General features: G+C 42.9%; 1 protein-coding gene across 4 annotated transcripts in view, besides 1 other annotated feature; it reads left to right on the forward strand.

Annotated features, from left to right (window-relative positions):
* Window positions 1–13,682, forward strand: part of ADCY2 (adenylate cyclase 2) — a 433,944-nt gene that overhangs the window by 373,651 nt on the left and 46,611 nt on the right. For all 4 annotated transcript variants that reach the window (NM_020546.3, XM_011513942.3, XM_047416645.1 and 1 more), the window contains one exon: window positions 3,144–3,313. In NM_020546.3, coding sequence (NP_065433.2) covers window positions 3,144–3,313 — 170 coding nt within the window. The remainder of the gene's footprint in view (window positions 1–3,143; window positions 3,314–13,682) is intronic.
* Window positions 9,348–9,397: an enhancer, noted in NCBI's record as "active region_22344". NCBI's record gives its function as "activates an Ori minimal core promoter by ATAC-STARR-seq in GM12878 lymphoblastoid cells {active_cell/tissue: GM12878}" and the evidence as "EXISTENCE:reporter gene assay evidence [ECO:0000049][PMID:35858748]".

Here is a 13,682-nt window from a genome sequence, read left to right on the forward strand (position 1 = left end):
TAGTGTTGATAAATTACTCCCGATAATGGTGGCTGTTACCTTACTGTAAAATGCAAGTTGGTTTCAATGATTAGGTCAAAACTGGTAAACATTACTAGCAATCAGGTTACCAGTAAGTACACTCCAATAGAAGTCGGTTCAGTATCCTATTGCCAGAATCGCTGACTATCTGGAGCCTTACCCGGTCAGCTAAACCGTGGAGCCAGGACAGGCTCCCAGCCTGGTATCCTGCAGTGTCCTCTCCCACACATCCCTGGATGGCTATTTGCAGGTTCCCAACCTACCTTTTTATGCCAGATCATCTCTTGCACAGTCTCCAAGCATTCTAGAAAGCCATTTAACAGAAATGGACTAAAAGTATGCTTCCCATTACCATACATATTTTAGTAGTTGTTCTGAAATGTGAAAATAAAAATTTTAAAGCCTAAGAATGAATTTTGAAATGTGAAACCTTAGCATATTTTATAGGTGTTGACACCTAGTTCAAAGGTTCAAACTGTGAAAAACTTTAAAAATTTACCCCAGGTCCCCACACACCAAACAATCCACATATACCCATTGATACATACACACCCTCTTATAAGTGGTTCCTTATTCTGCTCTCTCATTCGATTAGGCTGAACTGGTTGATAACTTTAATTATAACAGTGGTTTTCAAGCATAATTTTAGAAACAGAGCTGTTCCAAAAACCAAAACTTACAAAGGACTTTAGTTTATCATAATAATAGCAGAATTTACAAGCTTCTCATGGACTAGGCTGTTCTGAACTCTTTTGTTACTTAATCTTCGTGAGAATTCTCCAAGATGGGTGTTATCATCATCTTTACTTTGAGTGACTCATGGAAGACACAGGATTGCCTTGTTAAGATCAGCTGCTTTGGGGAATCCGAGGGGACAGGATCACTGAATAAGAGCCTTGCCCCCACCAGTTCCTGGGGCAATTTCCTGGGTTTGAAGGAGCAGTTTTAAAATACTCAAGACTATTGATTAAATGGCTACTAGGTTATAAATAAGGGCTTCTCAAACTCTTTGTGAAGGCCCTTTTTTCATTTCGCTTTGTTTTGTGTTTTTAATTTCTAATCTATGACAGACTAATGCTTTTGAAAAATGTAATGGTGAATTACCAGCAAAATGAACTAAAAAGGAAGCCATATGAAATGCAAGCTCATATTTCGTTATATTCAACAGAAACAAGCTCACTCTGCCAAGTTTCTATCCACATTCTGTACCTGTCTTGCAGAACTCACTGCTGTACTTTGAGTGGTCTTCTTCTAAGCAACATGGAGCATTAATGTACCTTGTATCAGAGGCCTCAGACCTGCCCTGAAGTAGATACTTAGTAACTTCTCTAAGGTGACAAGGGCTGAACTCTCATAGAAATAAGGTCTCCTTTCAAAGAGCATGCTAGACCCCTCCTCCCTCTGAGATACTGCCTGTCCACCTGTTCACAGCTCTGTTGATTCTATTGTTTTACTACATTAACCCACATCATCTCTTCTTTTCCTTTTCCTGTTCTCTGTCGTGGGAAGGCATGAGAGGCAGAAGAGTGGAGACTTGACATCGGGCAATTGCAGCTAAGAAACTGTGCTTACAACACTCTGTATTCCTTAAAATGCTGCCACCTGAAGTGAAGGGTGGCCTTCACATTCCCATGCAAAGGAAGACTTTAACTCCCTGAAGAGTGACCCAGTTGATGTGTAATCCAGTGCGAGGTGTTGGTCTTCCTTTTGAAGCCACAGTGTCAGGTCGAAGTCCTTACTGATGGATTTCTACTCATTCCTGCTTGAGTGCCTCCACTCAAGCATGCCCCTTACAAAGAGAAAGCCTGCCATATGATCACTGCAAGCTCCTATTCCCAACTTTTCTTTCTTCCTTCCACAAGAACAGGACTGTTGAGCTAATATCAGTGGCCTTCCACATAGGTTAATGTAGATGGCTTTAGCTGGGGAAATCAAAGGAAGAGCTCAAATGACAAAAATAAGCAGTTCTTACCAGGCTTACTCAACATGATGAAATTAAAATGGAGTAGTTTAAAAGCTGGGCTATTTTTAAAGACAAGGTTTAAAAAACATCAATAAGATCTATGTTTTATTAAAAGTCTTAATTTTTTTGAGTGTTGTCTCTGTTCTAGGAATGCTGAGATAGAAACACAAACCCTTGTTCACAGAAACCCCGTAATGTAGCAAATAAAGCCTTTCTGAGGATGGCACCTGTTTCCCTGCAGCAAGTCCCTCCTGGCGTGCAGGACTCTGGGCTCTGTGCATTACTTTTTTATCTCTGTTGTTTTCAATGACCTACAAGGAGAATATGATTACCCTCATTTTACAGTGTCATGCGGACACTGTGATATAAGCAAGTTAGGTCACTGGCTGAAAGTAAGTGAGCTAATGAGTTAGTGAAGAGTTGAATTCAGAGCTATCCAAAGCCTATCTGAACGGTGCCTGCAGTGGTAAATGGGGAGGAAATGGCTCACCTGGGGCAGGCCTGCCTTCAGCTTGTTCTGCCCTAAGATGGAAGATACCAGCTCGCTGGCCGCCACTTGGTTCGTCCGCTTTCTTCTGGTGCCTGTCAAACTCCCGGGGGGATTCATGACTCACCCTGGTCAAGGCTTTTAATTTAAGTCCTTCTGTTTTAAATAGGCCCTCTGACACACAATTTCTCTTTTAATAAAATGTCTGGGCTTCCTTATGCTTTTAACAGAGCTATCTGTAATGATTTATATTCTCTTAATGAATTAAAGAATTGAAAGGCCAAAAAAGATCCTATAGACTTAACTTACATTTAAGGAATGTATAGGAGGCCACAGTGTTTTCATTTTCAAGAAATAGATAACATTGGCTTATAGTGATGTGTCTTCCATATAAGTTTTTTTTACAATTTATTTCTAAAAAGTGGCAATATACATGCTTCTTTTTATTTATCATGCAAGGTTGAGTCGGAAAGCTTTGGATGATTTTTTTTTTTCTGAATTTAACATATCCAGGCATTTACCACTGGATCAAAGATGAGAAACAAGCCTCTGTTTTCACAGCCACCTTATATGTTGACCAGATGAGATGGGCGGTGGTCCCCTGATTGTAATTGTTTCAGCATTTCTCAGAAGAGATCCTAAGTATCTGTCTGGTGTCCTTCCCTGTTTCAGTACTTTATCTACAGCTGCATTCTGGGACTGATATCCTGTTCCGTGTTCCTGCGGGTAAACTATGAGCTGAAGATGTTGATCATGATGGTGGCCTTGGTGGGCTACAACACCATCCTACTCCACACCCACGCCCACGTCCTGGGCGACTACAGCCAGGTCTTATTTGAGAGGTGAGCCACGGCCTCTTCCTTCTCTTACTATAGTTCTTTCCCAGCCTGTGGATAGCATGAGTGTGTGTTGAGTAAATGCAAGTTAGCGATGTCATTGTCATTGATAAATCATTCTGAGAGAATTTCTTTGAAGTGATGCCTCAGAAAGACAATATGTGTTTTTGTTATAGATTACATCTGATTATGTATTCCCAAACACACATAGAAGATGTGAAGTGGTTTGGAGAGAAGAACTGTGTTATAACTGTACTATGTTGACAAAAGTAATCTAAGATTGTCGACCTCAGCACTATTGACATTTTGGACTAAATAATTCTCTGTTGCGGGCGCCGTCCTGTGCGTGGTAGGTAGGGTGTTTAGTGACATCCCTGGCCTTTACCCACTGAATGCCAGTCAGAGTCTCTTCTGCCCCAAGTCATGACAACTGAAAATGTCCCTAGAAATTGCCAAATGTCCTCAGGAAGGCAAAATGGCCCTCAGTTCAAAGCAAAATATTGAAAAAATAAGTAGCTGTATTCACAAGTTACAGTGTTACATTTTTCACTAGAGATTTTCTAAAATACTGTTATGGGGAAGGGGAACTATCAGTCCTGAAAATTCTTTGTTCTGTGGAGAAATTGACTTCCAAGAAAATATATGGTTGCTTTAGGTCTTTCAACCATAAGCCTAGATGCAGCAAGAATGATTCTACCAGGTGTACTCACTGAGGTTTATAACCGGTTTCCTGTTACCAAATTACTTCCATAAGCTTATAATGAATATTTGTTTGAAAAAAATTGTTTTAATCATTATGATACTTTCCACATCACATCTCAAAAGCAAAACAACATTTTATAACAAGTGTTAGGTTTATTTCTGAACCCACCAGATGTCAAAGTATTTTCTAGGAGTGCTTGGCACTGTCCTCCATCTTATTTCTACATTTATTTTAAAATAATATAAATGCCTTAAATATTTGCATTGATTTATTACTCCAGAAAGTTGTTTTGTGTTGACAGTACATGGCCACCTATTTCTTCACTGGAGACCCGGTGTTAGGAACGGCAGTTATCCCACTGTGTAGACATTTCTTACCAATAAGAACCTTTGCAGAAGGTGCAACCCATTCTTTTCACCTAATTTAATTTTCATCATCTTCCACACGATGAAACTCTACTAATCTGTAATCAAGCTTAAGGCAGTGGGGTTGCAAAAATGCATAATTATATTTATGATTCCTTAGCCAAAATGAGAATGGAAGTTAATTTTCCAATAAATTCTCAAAATTGCCAACTAAACATGCTTTACTATTGCTCTACTATATCCAGAAAGCCTGTGTTGTATTCCTAAATAAATGTAGCATTATTGATTTTCACGCGCAGCTGATAACGCTACTAAGTTTCCTTTTATTAAATTTAAAGCACCTGAATATGTTACACATCTGCAGCAAAAGAAGAAATCAGATTAGCAAGTTTCTGGTGTGGAGAGAATTGCTTCTGGGGACCTCAGTGGGGCGCTTGAAGAGATAATCTCTGAATGGAACCCTAGCAGCAGGAGACTAGTTATCAGGTTGAAGAAAAGGAGTTTTGCCTTTAGATCACATTCTCTGTATTAAAGGTGTTTTGTATTTGCGCTCGGTTTGTCTTTGCAATGACCTTGAAGCTAGGGAGACTGACTTGAGAAGCCTCGGCGACTTGCCTTCACTTCCATCAGTAAAGCCAGCATCCTCCTCGGGGGCACGCACCTGTCTCTCACTTCCTAATTTTTTAAAAAAATTTTGTGGATACATAATAGGTATACATATTTATGGGGTACATGAGATGTTTTCATACATCTTGCAATGTGAAATAATTGCATCATGGAGAATGGGGTATCCATCCCCTCAAGCATTTATCCTTTGTGTTACATATAATCCAGTTACACTTTTTACTTATTTATTTATTTGAGGCAGAATTTTGCTCTGTCACTCAGGCTGGAGTGCAGTGGCACAGTCTGGGTTCACTGCAACCTCTGCCTCCTGGGTTCAAGCGATTTTCCTGCTTCAGCCTCTCTAGTAGCTGGGATTACAGGTGCCTGCCACCATGCCCAGCTACTTTGTGTGTGTGTGTGTGTGTGTGTGTGTGTGTGTGTATGCACACACATACATATACATATACATATACATACACGTATATATTTTTAGTAGAGACAGAGTTTCATCATGTTGGCCAGGCTGCTCTCAAACTTCTGGCCTCAAGTGATCCACCCACCTCAGCCTCCCAAAGTGTTGAGATTACAGGCATGAGCCACAGCGCCTGGCCTCTTTTAGTTTTGATTGTTTGTTTGTTTGAGATGGAGTCTCACTCTGTTGCCCAGGCTGGAGTACAGTGGTTTGATCTCTGCTCAGTGCAACCCCCACCTCCCAGGTTCAAGCAATTCTCCTGCTTCAGCCTCCTGAGTAGCTAGGATTGCAGGCAGCCGCCACCATGCCTGGCTGATTTTTGTATTTTTAGTAGAGATGGGGTTTCACCATGTTGGCCAGGCTACTCTTGATCTCCTGACCTCAGGTGATCCACCTGCCTCAGCCTCCCAAAGTGCTGGGATTACAGGCATAAGCCACCGCACCCAGACTTAGTTATTTTTAAATGTACAATTAAGTTATTATTGATTATAGTTGCCTTGTGCTATGAAATAGTAGGTCTTACTCATTATTTTTTCCTACTTCCTAATTTTCATCAGAAGTTCTGGCACTTCTTGAACTGATCCCTGAACGGGCTGCACGATATTATCAGAAGCATCTTCAATGGAAAGATGAGTCTTAACTGATGCGATAGCAGAAAAGCATAATACCTCAAAATCAATGAATATTCTATGATGTCCACTTAAAACTAACCCCACATGGGAGACCCTTAAGAGTGGGAATTTAGAAGCCCCCCGATTTCTCCAGCCTCATTGCCTGTTTTACGTAACCCTGTGACTCATGCCAGAGGTAAAACCAATCAATGTCAATGTTTTCTTTCTCTTTTCTGAGATCCAAGAGCTTTTCCCCATCAAATAATTGAAATCAGTTTTCTCATCCTTTGCCTTGCTTATTGATGCTGACACACACTTCCCAATATGAAAGTGAGATCCTTAAAAAAAAAAAAAAAAAAAAAAAGCTGTGTAACATGATGCCTTGAGAGTGAACATCACTTAATCCAAAGCCAGAGGTGCCTCTGAGGGTGGGAGCTGGCTCACAGGACGGCCGGGCAGCACTGCCTTTTCTGATTGAGCCCCTCTGTGCCATTGAAGTCACGGCATTTTGTCCCATCCGTTTGGTGACCTGTCTCTGGGCGCCACATTCTTGCCTCATTCTTACTCCTTGCCTTCTCTCTTCTGTTCTGGTCTTCTTTCTGGGACCCTTGCTTGGCTGTGGCAGGTCAGTGTCCTTCCTGTCCACCCAGGCCCCTAGACCTGCTCCTCATTGACCTTGAGTGCTCTGACGACACTGTGATGGTTAATGTTAGATGTCAACATGATTGGATTGAAGGATGTCTAGGTAGCTGGTAAAGTATTGTTTCTGGGTGTGTCTGCGTGGGTGTTGCCAGAGAAGACTGACATTTGAGTCGGTGGACTGGGAGAGGAAGACCCACCCTCAGTGTGATGGGCACCACCCAATCAGCTGCCAGCACAACCAGAACAAAGCAGGTGAAAGAAGAATAAGCTGGCTTGCTGGCTCTTATGGTTTTCATCTTTATCCTGTGCTGGATGCTTCGTGCCCTTGAACATCAAACTCCAACATCAAAGGTTCTTTGGCCTTTGGACTCCAGGACTTGTACAGCAGTATCTCCAGGGTTCTTAGTACAGAAGGCTGCACTGTTGGTTTCCCTGGTTTTGAGGCTTTGGGACTTGGACTGAGCCACTCCCAGCATCTCTCTTTCCCTGCTTTGCAGACGGCCTGTCATGGGGCTTCACCTTGTGATCTGGTGAGCCAATTCTCGGTAATAAACTCCCTTCTATATATATATATATACATCCTATTAGTTCTAGCCCTCTGGAAAACCCCAACTAATACATAGACCTCCCTCAAGCTTCTGGCTTTCACCCCTCGGTGTGCCTGAGGACCAAGCAGCTCCTCTGTCCTGTTTCACCCCGGAAAGGTGGAAGGTACCCATCCTGGATGAAGGGGACATGGCTTCTGTTGCCTGTTAACCCCTTTTCTGTGATATACACATATGGGCTGAGGACTTTAACACACTCTTCTGAATCATGCAGAAGAGAAGATCTGAACTAAATACCATGGCTTATGAACAGTGCCTGCAACTGTGCCTGGCATCTAGTACTCAAAAAACATCTGTTGAATGAATGAACAAAAGCATGTCATGCTCTCGAACAATGGGAAGAGCCTGACACCAGCTTCCTGAAATCTCTTCGCCTCACCTGCTTCCCTGAAGACAGAGCCTATCTCCAGATCACTGAGGATGTGTCTTTTAGTATCCACATCAGGTTCTGTTTATATCTTTATATTTCAAAGGAAAGTTCAGGGAAGGCATCTCTGTTTAAAGGCAGTGCCAGCCATCTTCCTCTGTACTTTGTCCTGCATGTGACTTCGTCATGGCTCCTATGGCAAGGCCTTTTCAGAACCAACTTGGCATTGCTCATGGGCAAGCCAACAAGATGTTACAAACCAATGGAGTTGGCAGCGGAAAAAGGAGAAGTATGCACTAGAAAAACTTCGTATCGATGAATAGTTAAGAAAATGGTATTTAAGACATTCTTACACATTCAAGAGTATGAAAAGTAGACTTTTCAGGAGGAAAAAAAGACCACTCAGAGAGAGTGTGCCATTGAAAATCCATTAGGAAGGAGGTCAGGAGTGTCCCAGTATTTAACGTGACCTGCTGGGACGTGATTCGGATAAGTCGCCTCCTGCTGAAGGCAGCTTGGCAGTTTCTCAGATGTTTCCTATTCTTTGGTGTTCACAGCAGTCCTCCATATTGTCTGTGAATTGATCAATAATGGTTGTGGTTCCTATCTATGACACTGTCTCCCAAATCCCTTAGCCAGAGCTGTTGAGACACCAACTGCTCTTCAAGGTGATGGTGATGTTAATAACAACTGATGTTGCTGGAAGCTGTTTTTGTCTCAAAGACACTTATCCTTCCCATGACAAAAACTTGCTACTGTGTCTGCAAGAAGTTGTCAAATTTTTCCTGAGTTTTTTTTCTTACAGAACTGAAAAGTCTCAAGGGATGGGTGTTATTTCACTTGGACCAAGCCATTATGTTAACTCACCTGGAGGCTAGAAATCTACCTTTAATTCTAGAGACACATGGGACATGGAGAGCTTGAGCAGAGCAGCTAACTAACAAGGATCCCTAAAGACCAATTAGTTCTGTGCTGGAACTTTAGCCCAGTAAAATAAGTACTTTCTGGAAAGCACATAAATACGGTGTTTAAGCAGCAGTGATAAACAGTGCTTAGCCTCATCCAGAAGCTCTAGATTGCAACTGGCTGAAATGTCTGCAAAAGTTTACCTTCCCAGCCTTAGCAACAGCCTCCTATCAGGAAGAGCATTGGAGATGCTTGGACTTGCACCTGTCACTGAGATGCATGAACTAAGCACCTTCCTTGTGGTATTTTTCTGCTTTCCCTGATTTTCCCATGTCTCATGGAAATCCCAATGGCTGGAATTTAGGATATTGCGATGTATTTTCACAATGTCCTAACGAGGGATTGATTGATGATGAACTGAAGGAAAGTCTTGAGGAAAAACAAGAAAACCTATCCCACACAGGAAAGGTCAGGAAGAGCTGCAGACCTTACCCTGGGGCAGATGGTCTGTGGATATTCCCAAGAACCTGAAATTGTTTTCATGTCTTTTCTTTAAATGAAGAATATATTTCAAATTTGCATTCCAAGCCATAATATAGTCAAGTTAATATTGAAAATATTTTCGATTCCTTTCAGATTTACCATCTCAGCTTTCCCCACTCTGCCTGTTTCCTGCACCCTATGCCATTTCAGAAAGTGAGGAGCACAGCATGCTTTTCTGTGCCTGATACCTACTATCAGGGCAGCAGGGAGGGAAGCAATCCCAGCTGCCTAACTTTAACAACAAAGCAAGTCATCCTAGGGCTATGCAGGGTCTAACAAGCTTCTTTTCCTTCTATAAAGAGCAACCGTTAGTGAACTACTTCTCTATCTGACCTAAAACAGAAAATGTCCTGTGGTTTGGACTCATCTGCAGGAAGAAACTCGATATTTAGGCTCTTTTGTTTTGTTCTGTTTGATTTTAGAATAGGGGAAGGGTTTCACAGGGTCTGTGGCATAGACTCCATAGAATGTGCAGTGTTTCTAATCATCAGTTCTTCCATGTGATGCTAAAGCCATGCCCCGCCCAACCACATCAGATCGCTCTGAGGTAGCAGTGGCTTCCGACTTAAAATCACTCTTCTTCACAAAAGGAAACCACAACTGCATTAATCAGGTCACATGATTGTCTCCACAGCAAAGGGCCAGCACTCCCAGTCCAACCCCCCCCCCAACACACACTTTTGTCATCTTTTCTGACCTGCCACTGCCTCCGGAGCTCTTTTCTAAGCAGGAGCCTATTCCTTAATTTGTGGTTCTGCTGCAGCACTGGCATGTCTGGCTTGGCATTTATGAACACAACTCTGAAAAAGCGGGAGCCTTTGAGCCATCTGTCCCTGGAAGATGTTGGGCCATCTTTGCTGCAAGTTCACATGGCATTCTGATGCATCTGTGTCCAAGCCAGAGAGGAGAGAATGCCCAGAAACCCCTTAGGGAAGATGAGCCATTTCCAAGCCAACACAGTCATTTGTCCACTCATTTATTCATTTTCACAACACACTTCTATTGAATGCCCTTGATACGGAGCGTGGGAACCCTGGCTAAGCTGTTGATCCCATACTTTACCAGCCAGCCACGGGCCAGGAGGAAGTTACTGCCTCAGTGGCTCAAGTTTGGGAGAAGAGTCCAAAGAGGAAATCCACAGGATCTGCAACAAACACAGCAGGAGAGGACACCATGAAAGTAGACCGAGTGTGTCTTAGCAATTCCCTGCTGCTTCTCAAGTCAGAGTTAGATGAAGATTTTCTGACAAGGCATGGGACTGACTTATTTTGCCTTATGCATCTTAACCTCAGATTAGTTTTCTGGGGTGTTTTATCTTGTTTTACGCAGGACAATGTTGTCTTCTGGCTCTGTGATTGAGGTCCCAATCCCTTGCTGAGTGAGGCTCAGTGAGCAGACTCGTCCTTGTGGCATTATCAATTCGGACAAGACATTTGCTTTCTGCATCGTTTGATACTGACGATTCCTGAGGATTTGGGGGTCACTTGTGGACAAAGCCAGGCATTTTCTAATGTAATGGTGTAACCAGAGGCAGGAAAGAAAGATAAAAGAGAGATTAGCTGAAGACCATGAGGATATTGTGTGGGTAAAGGGGAAGGAAGTCATTGTCTCCTTGTTAGCCTGGTCTTTATAAGCTGTGGCCCTCAGTGATCAGTGAACCGATTTTTTTATTTATCCCAATTAGTGACCTGAGAAGATATGATTTTACCTCAGCTAACCACTGTTAACAGCACAAGAGAAATTAGACTCCTTTGGGTACTTTTCTTTTTAAAAATATTCACCCACAGAAATGTAAAGTTTTTGAAGGTGGGATAATGTTTGTGTCTATGTGCCTGGACTGCTTTCCCTCCTGAGAATCATGAAAATGTCCTTTTTTACTCCATCTGAAGTGTTTGCCTTCAGGTTAGAGGCTGGTTCACTAAGCAATTCCTCCATCTCCCTCACCAGTACGTTGGGGTGTGGTGTTCTTTTGGACTCCTGAAACTTGATGAGCAAAATGATTACTCCATTAACAACCTCAGGCGGAGGGCCAACGGCAGACGCCTGTGCGGCACGGGAGCATCTGAGTCCCCAGTGTCTGATTTTTAGATAAGAAAGGAAGTGTGTTCCATCACATTTTGGCTACCATTGTCGTTGTGTTGGAAATCATGTAGTTAGAAACTTTCTGTTATATTAGCTGTGTCTTCTCTACTTCATAACTCAATGACGGTGCCACCCTAACACATGAGATCTGAAGTAGATTTCATCCTTAAAACATAAAGGAGAGAGAGAGAAAGAGAGAGGGAAAGAGAGAGGGAGGAGAGAGAGCTCATACCCAACTAGCTGTGCAGCTCATATTTCTCTAAACAGCTGACCTGATTGGTGGGCTGAATTGTGTCCCCCAAAATAAGATATAAAGCTTTGGTCCCCAGTGTCTCAGAATGTGACCTTATTTGGAAATAGAATCTTTGCAAGTGGAAGTAGTTAAGATGAGGTCATGCTGAAGGAGGGTGGCCCCTAATCCAGTATAAGTGATGCCCTCCTAAGGAGATGGCCAGGTGAAGAGACAGACACACAGGAATGCCACGTGATGATGAAGGCAGGGATTGGAGTCATGTGGTGGCAAGCTAAGAAAAGCCAATGATGGCCAGCAAACTACCTGAAGTGAGACCAAGGCAAGGAAGCATTCCCTAATGGTTTCAGAAGGACATGGCCCTGAGAACATCCTACTGTCAGACTTCTAGCCCCCACAACACTGAGATGATACATTTGTGTTATTTTAAGTCACCTAGTTTATGCTACCTCGTTATAGCAACTCTAGGAAACTAATTCAGAGATCAACACAACTGACTACTCTGCCAGAAAGATGTCCTGGGATTTTAATGTACCTCTCCCTGACTCCCACCATGCTCCATGCCCCTCCTTCTCACCACCTTTCTCATGGACACACAAAGAGTGAGGTGATCTAGGAACTGATCTACGGTGGAGAAATGTCACTGAAACCATAGGGGCCCTAACAGCATCTATCCACAAGTGGCCCACACAAGAGAGAAGTCCTTCAGTAGGAGTTGGCAGTTCTCTTTTGCTAACAGAATGAAAGAAGTCTTCAGAAATCCAAGTGAAATCCAGAAAAGCCAGATGGAGTCCCTAGTAGTTGTCAGAGAACTTCAGAAGAGAAAAAGGCAGCCGTGTTTTGGTATGCCAGTTGGCTCTGTGGGCTGCTCGTGCCTCGTGATTCCTGAGATCCATTTAGGTCTGCACTTTCAAATCCACTCCCCAGTCCTGCAGGGAGAGCCTCTGCTGGTCTAGCTTCCTCCAAGCTCCCCCTCCACCCACCACTATTCCTCAGGAAGACTCAAGATCTGGGAGATGGGTGAGCAGGGTATTTCTACCCCCATAAACCAAGATTCAAATGCATTAATGTGAGGACTCCCCAGACAGGATTTCTCCCAATAGGTTGCTTGTGTGAATTTTCTGTCTGATTAACTGAAAACCCAGCGAGGTCTTGAATTGTCTAAGAGGATCCTACCTATGTCTCTGTCAGTGAGAGGGACCTAAGCTGGCTCTGTATGTTTGGGGCATCTGGTCCTTTAGTTAGAAATGCAAAGGGGACTTGCGTTCTGATTTGTTGCACTAATGAAGCTCCTATAAATCCTGGCCTGAGATTTACTCTTAGTTTAGGAATTATGAGGGTGGTGGGTAGAAGAAGGGGATGTCATAGATGCTTTTTCTGGCCCCTTGGAATTGTAAAGTAATGTGATATTCACAAAGCAGCATGCAAATTAAAAACTCAGCCTACATTAGCTTCGTAGGATGTTAGCTGTGTGGTACCACTTTCACTATTCAATATAGCATGAGCATGGTCAATATAGGGTAAAAAGAGTTTAAAATTCATGAAAGTCAGAGTCAGAATTGGTTTTAGACATCTGCACCCATCGGTCACTTCAGCTGTGCTGTTGGACACCGCAGTCATAGGCTCAGAGAGGAGCAACTTCATCTTATAAAATCAAAGCCAGTGAAACAGGAAGGCAGCACTGCTCCCCAGCTTCATTCTCAGAGAGAAATGGTGACCTCCTTAAGTTTCACGAGCTCAGATTCCTCCAGCTGCGGCAGGTTTGGTGGGGAGGAAAGAACTCCTAATGCAAGCACAACCTTACTGGAGAGTTCTCTGTGGCTCTAAGCCCATAAGCCACTGGGACCAGGCAATTCTGTTTCCTCATTCCTGCAGGAATCCACCTTTTCTTTGCACTTGAGTCTTTCTTTCTGTTAATAATATTCTCCAGTCTGTGTTTCCTTATCTTTTTCTCTAGTTTCTTAGCCTCACCCCACTCCCCTTCCTTATCATTCTGTAATTAATGTTAAAAATCACAAGTATCATTTGGAAAGAGTTTCCTATGTGTCAGGCTCTGTGCCAGGGATATAAGTATTTAATGTAGTGGCTAAAACAGCCTGCAGGGTAGGGGTTGGTACCCACCTTTGACTGATGGGGAAAGTGACGTTTGAAGCGGTTTATGCAAGGTCCTATAGCTCAGGATTCAAACCCAGGCTCTCTTGCTTTAAAGCCCACCTGGGCTTT

Source organism: Homo sapiens, chromosome 5 (genome assembly GCF_000001405.40).
Source record: "Homo sapiens chromosome 5, GRCh38.p14 Primary Assembly".
In the NCBI taxonomy this organism is placed as follows: Eukaryota; Metazoa; Chordata; class Mammalia; order Primates; family Hominidae; genus Homo; species Homo sapiens.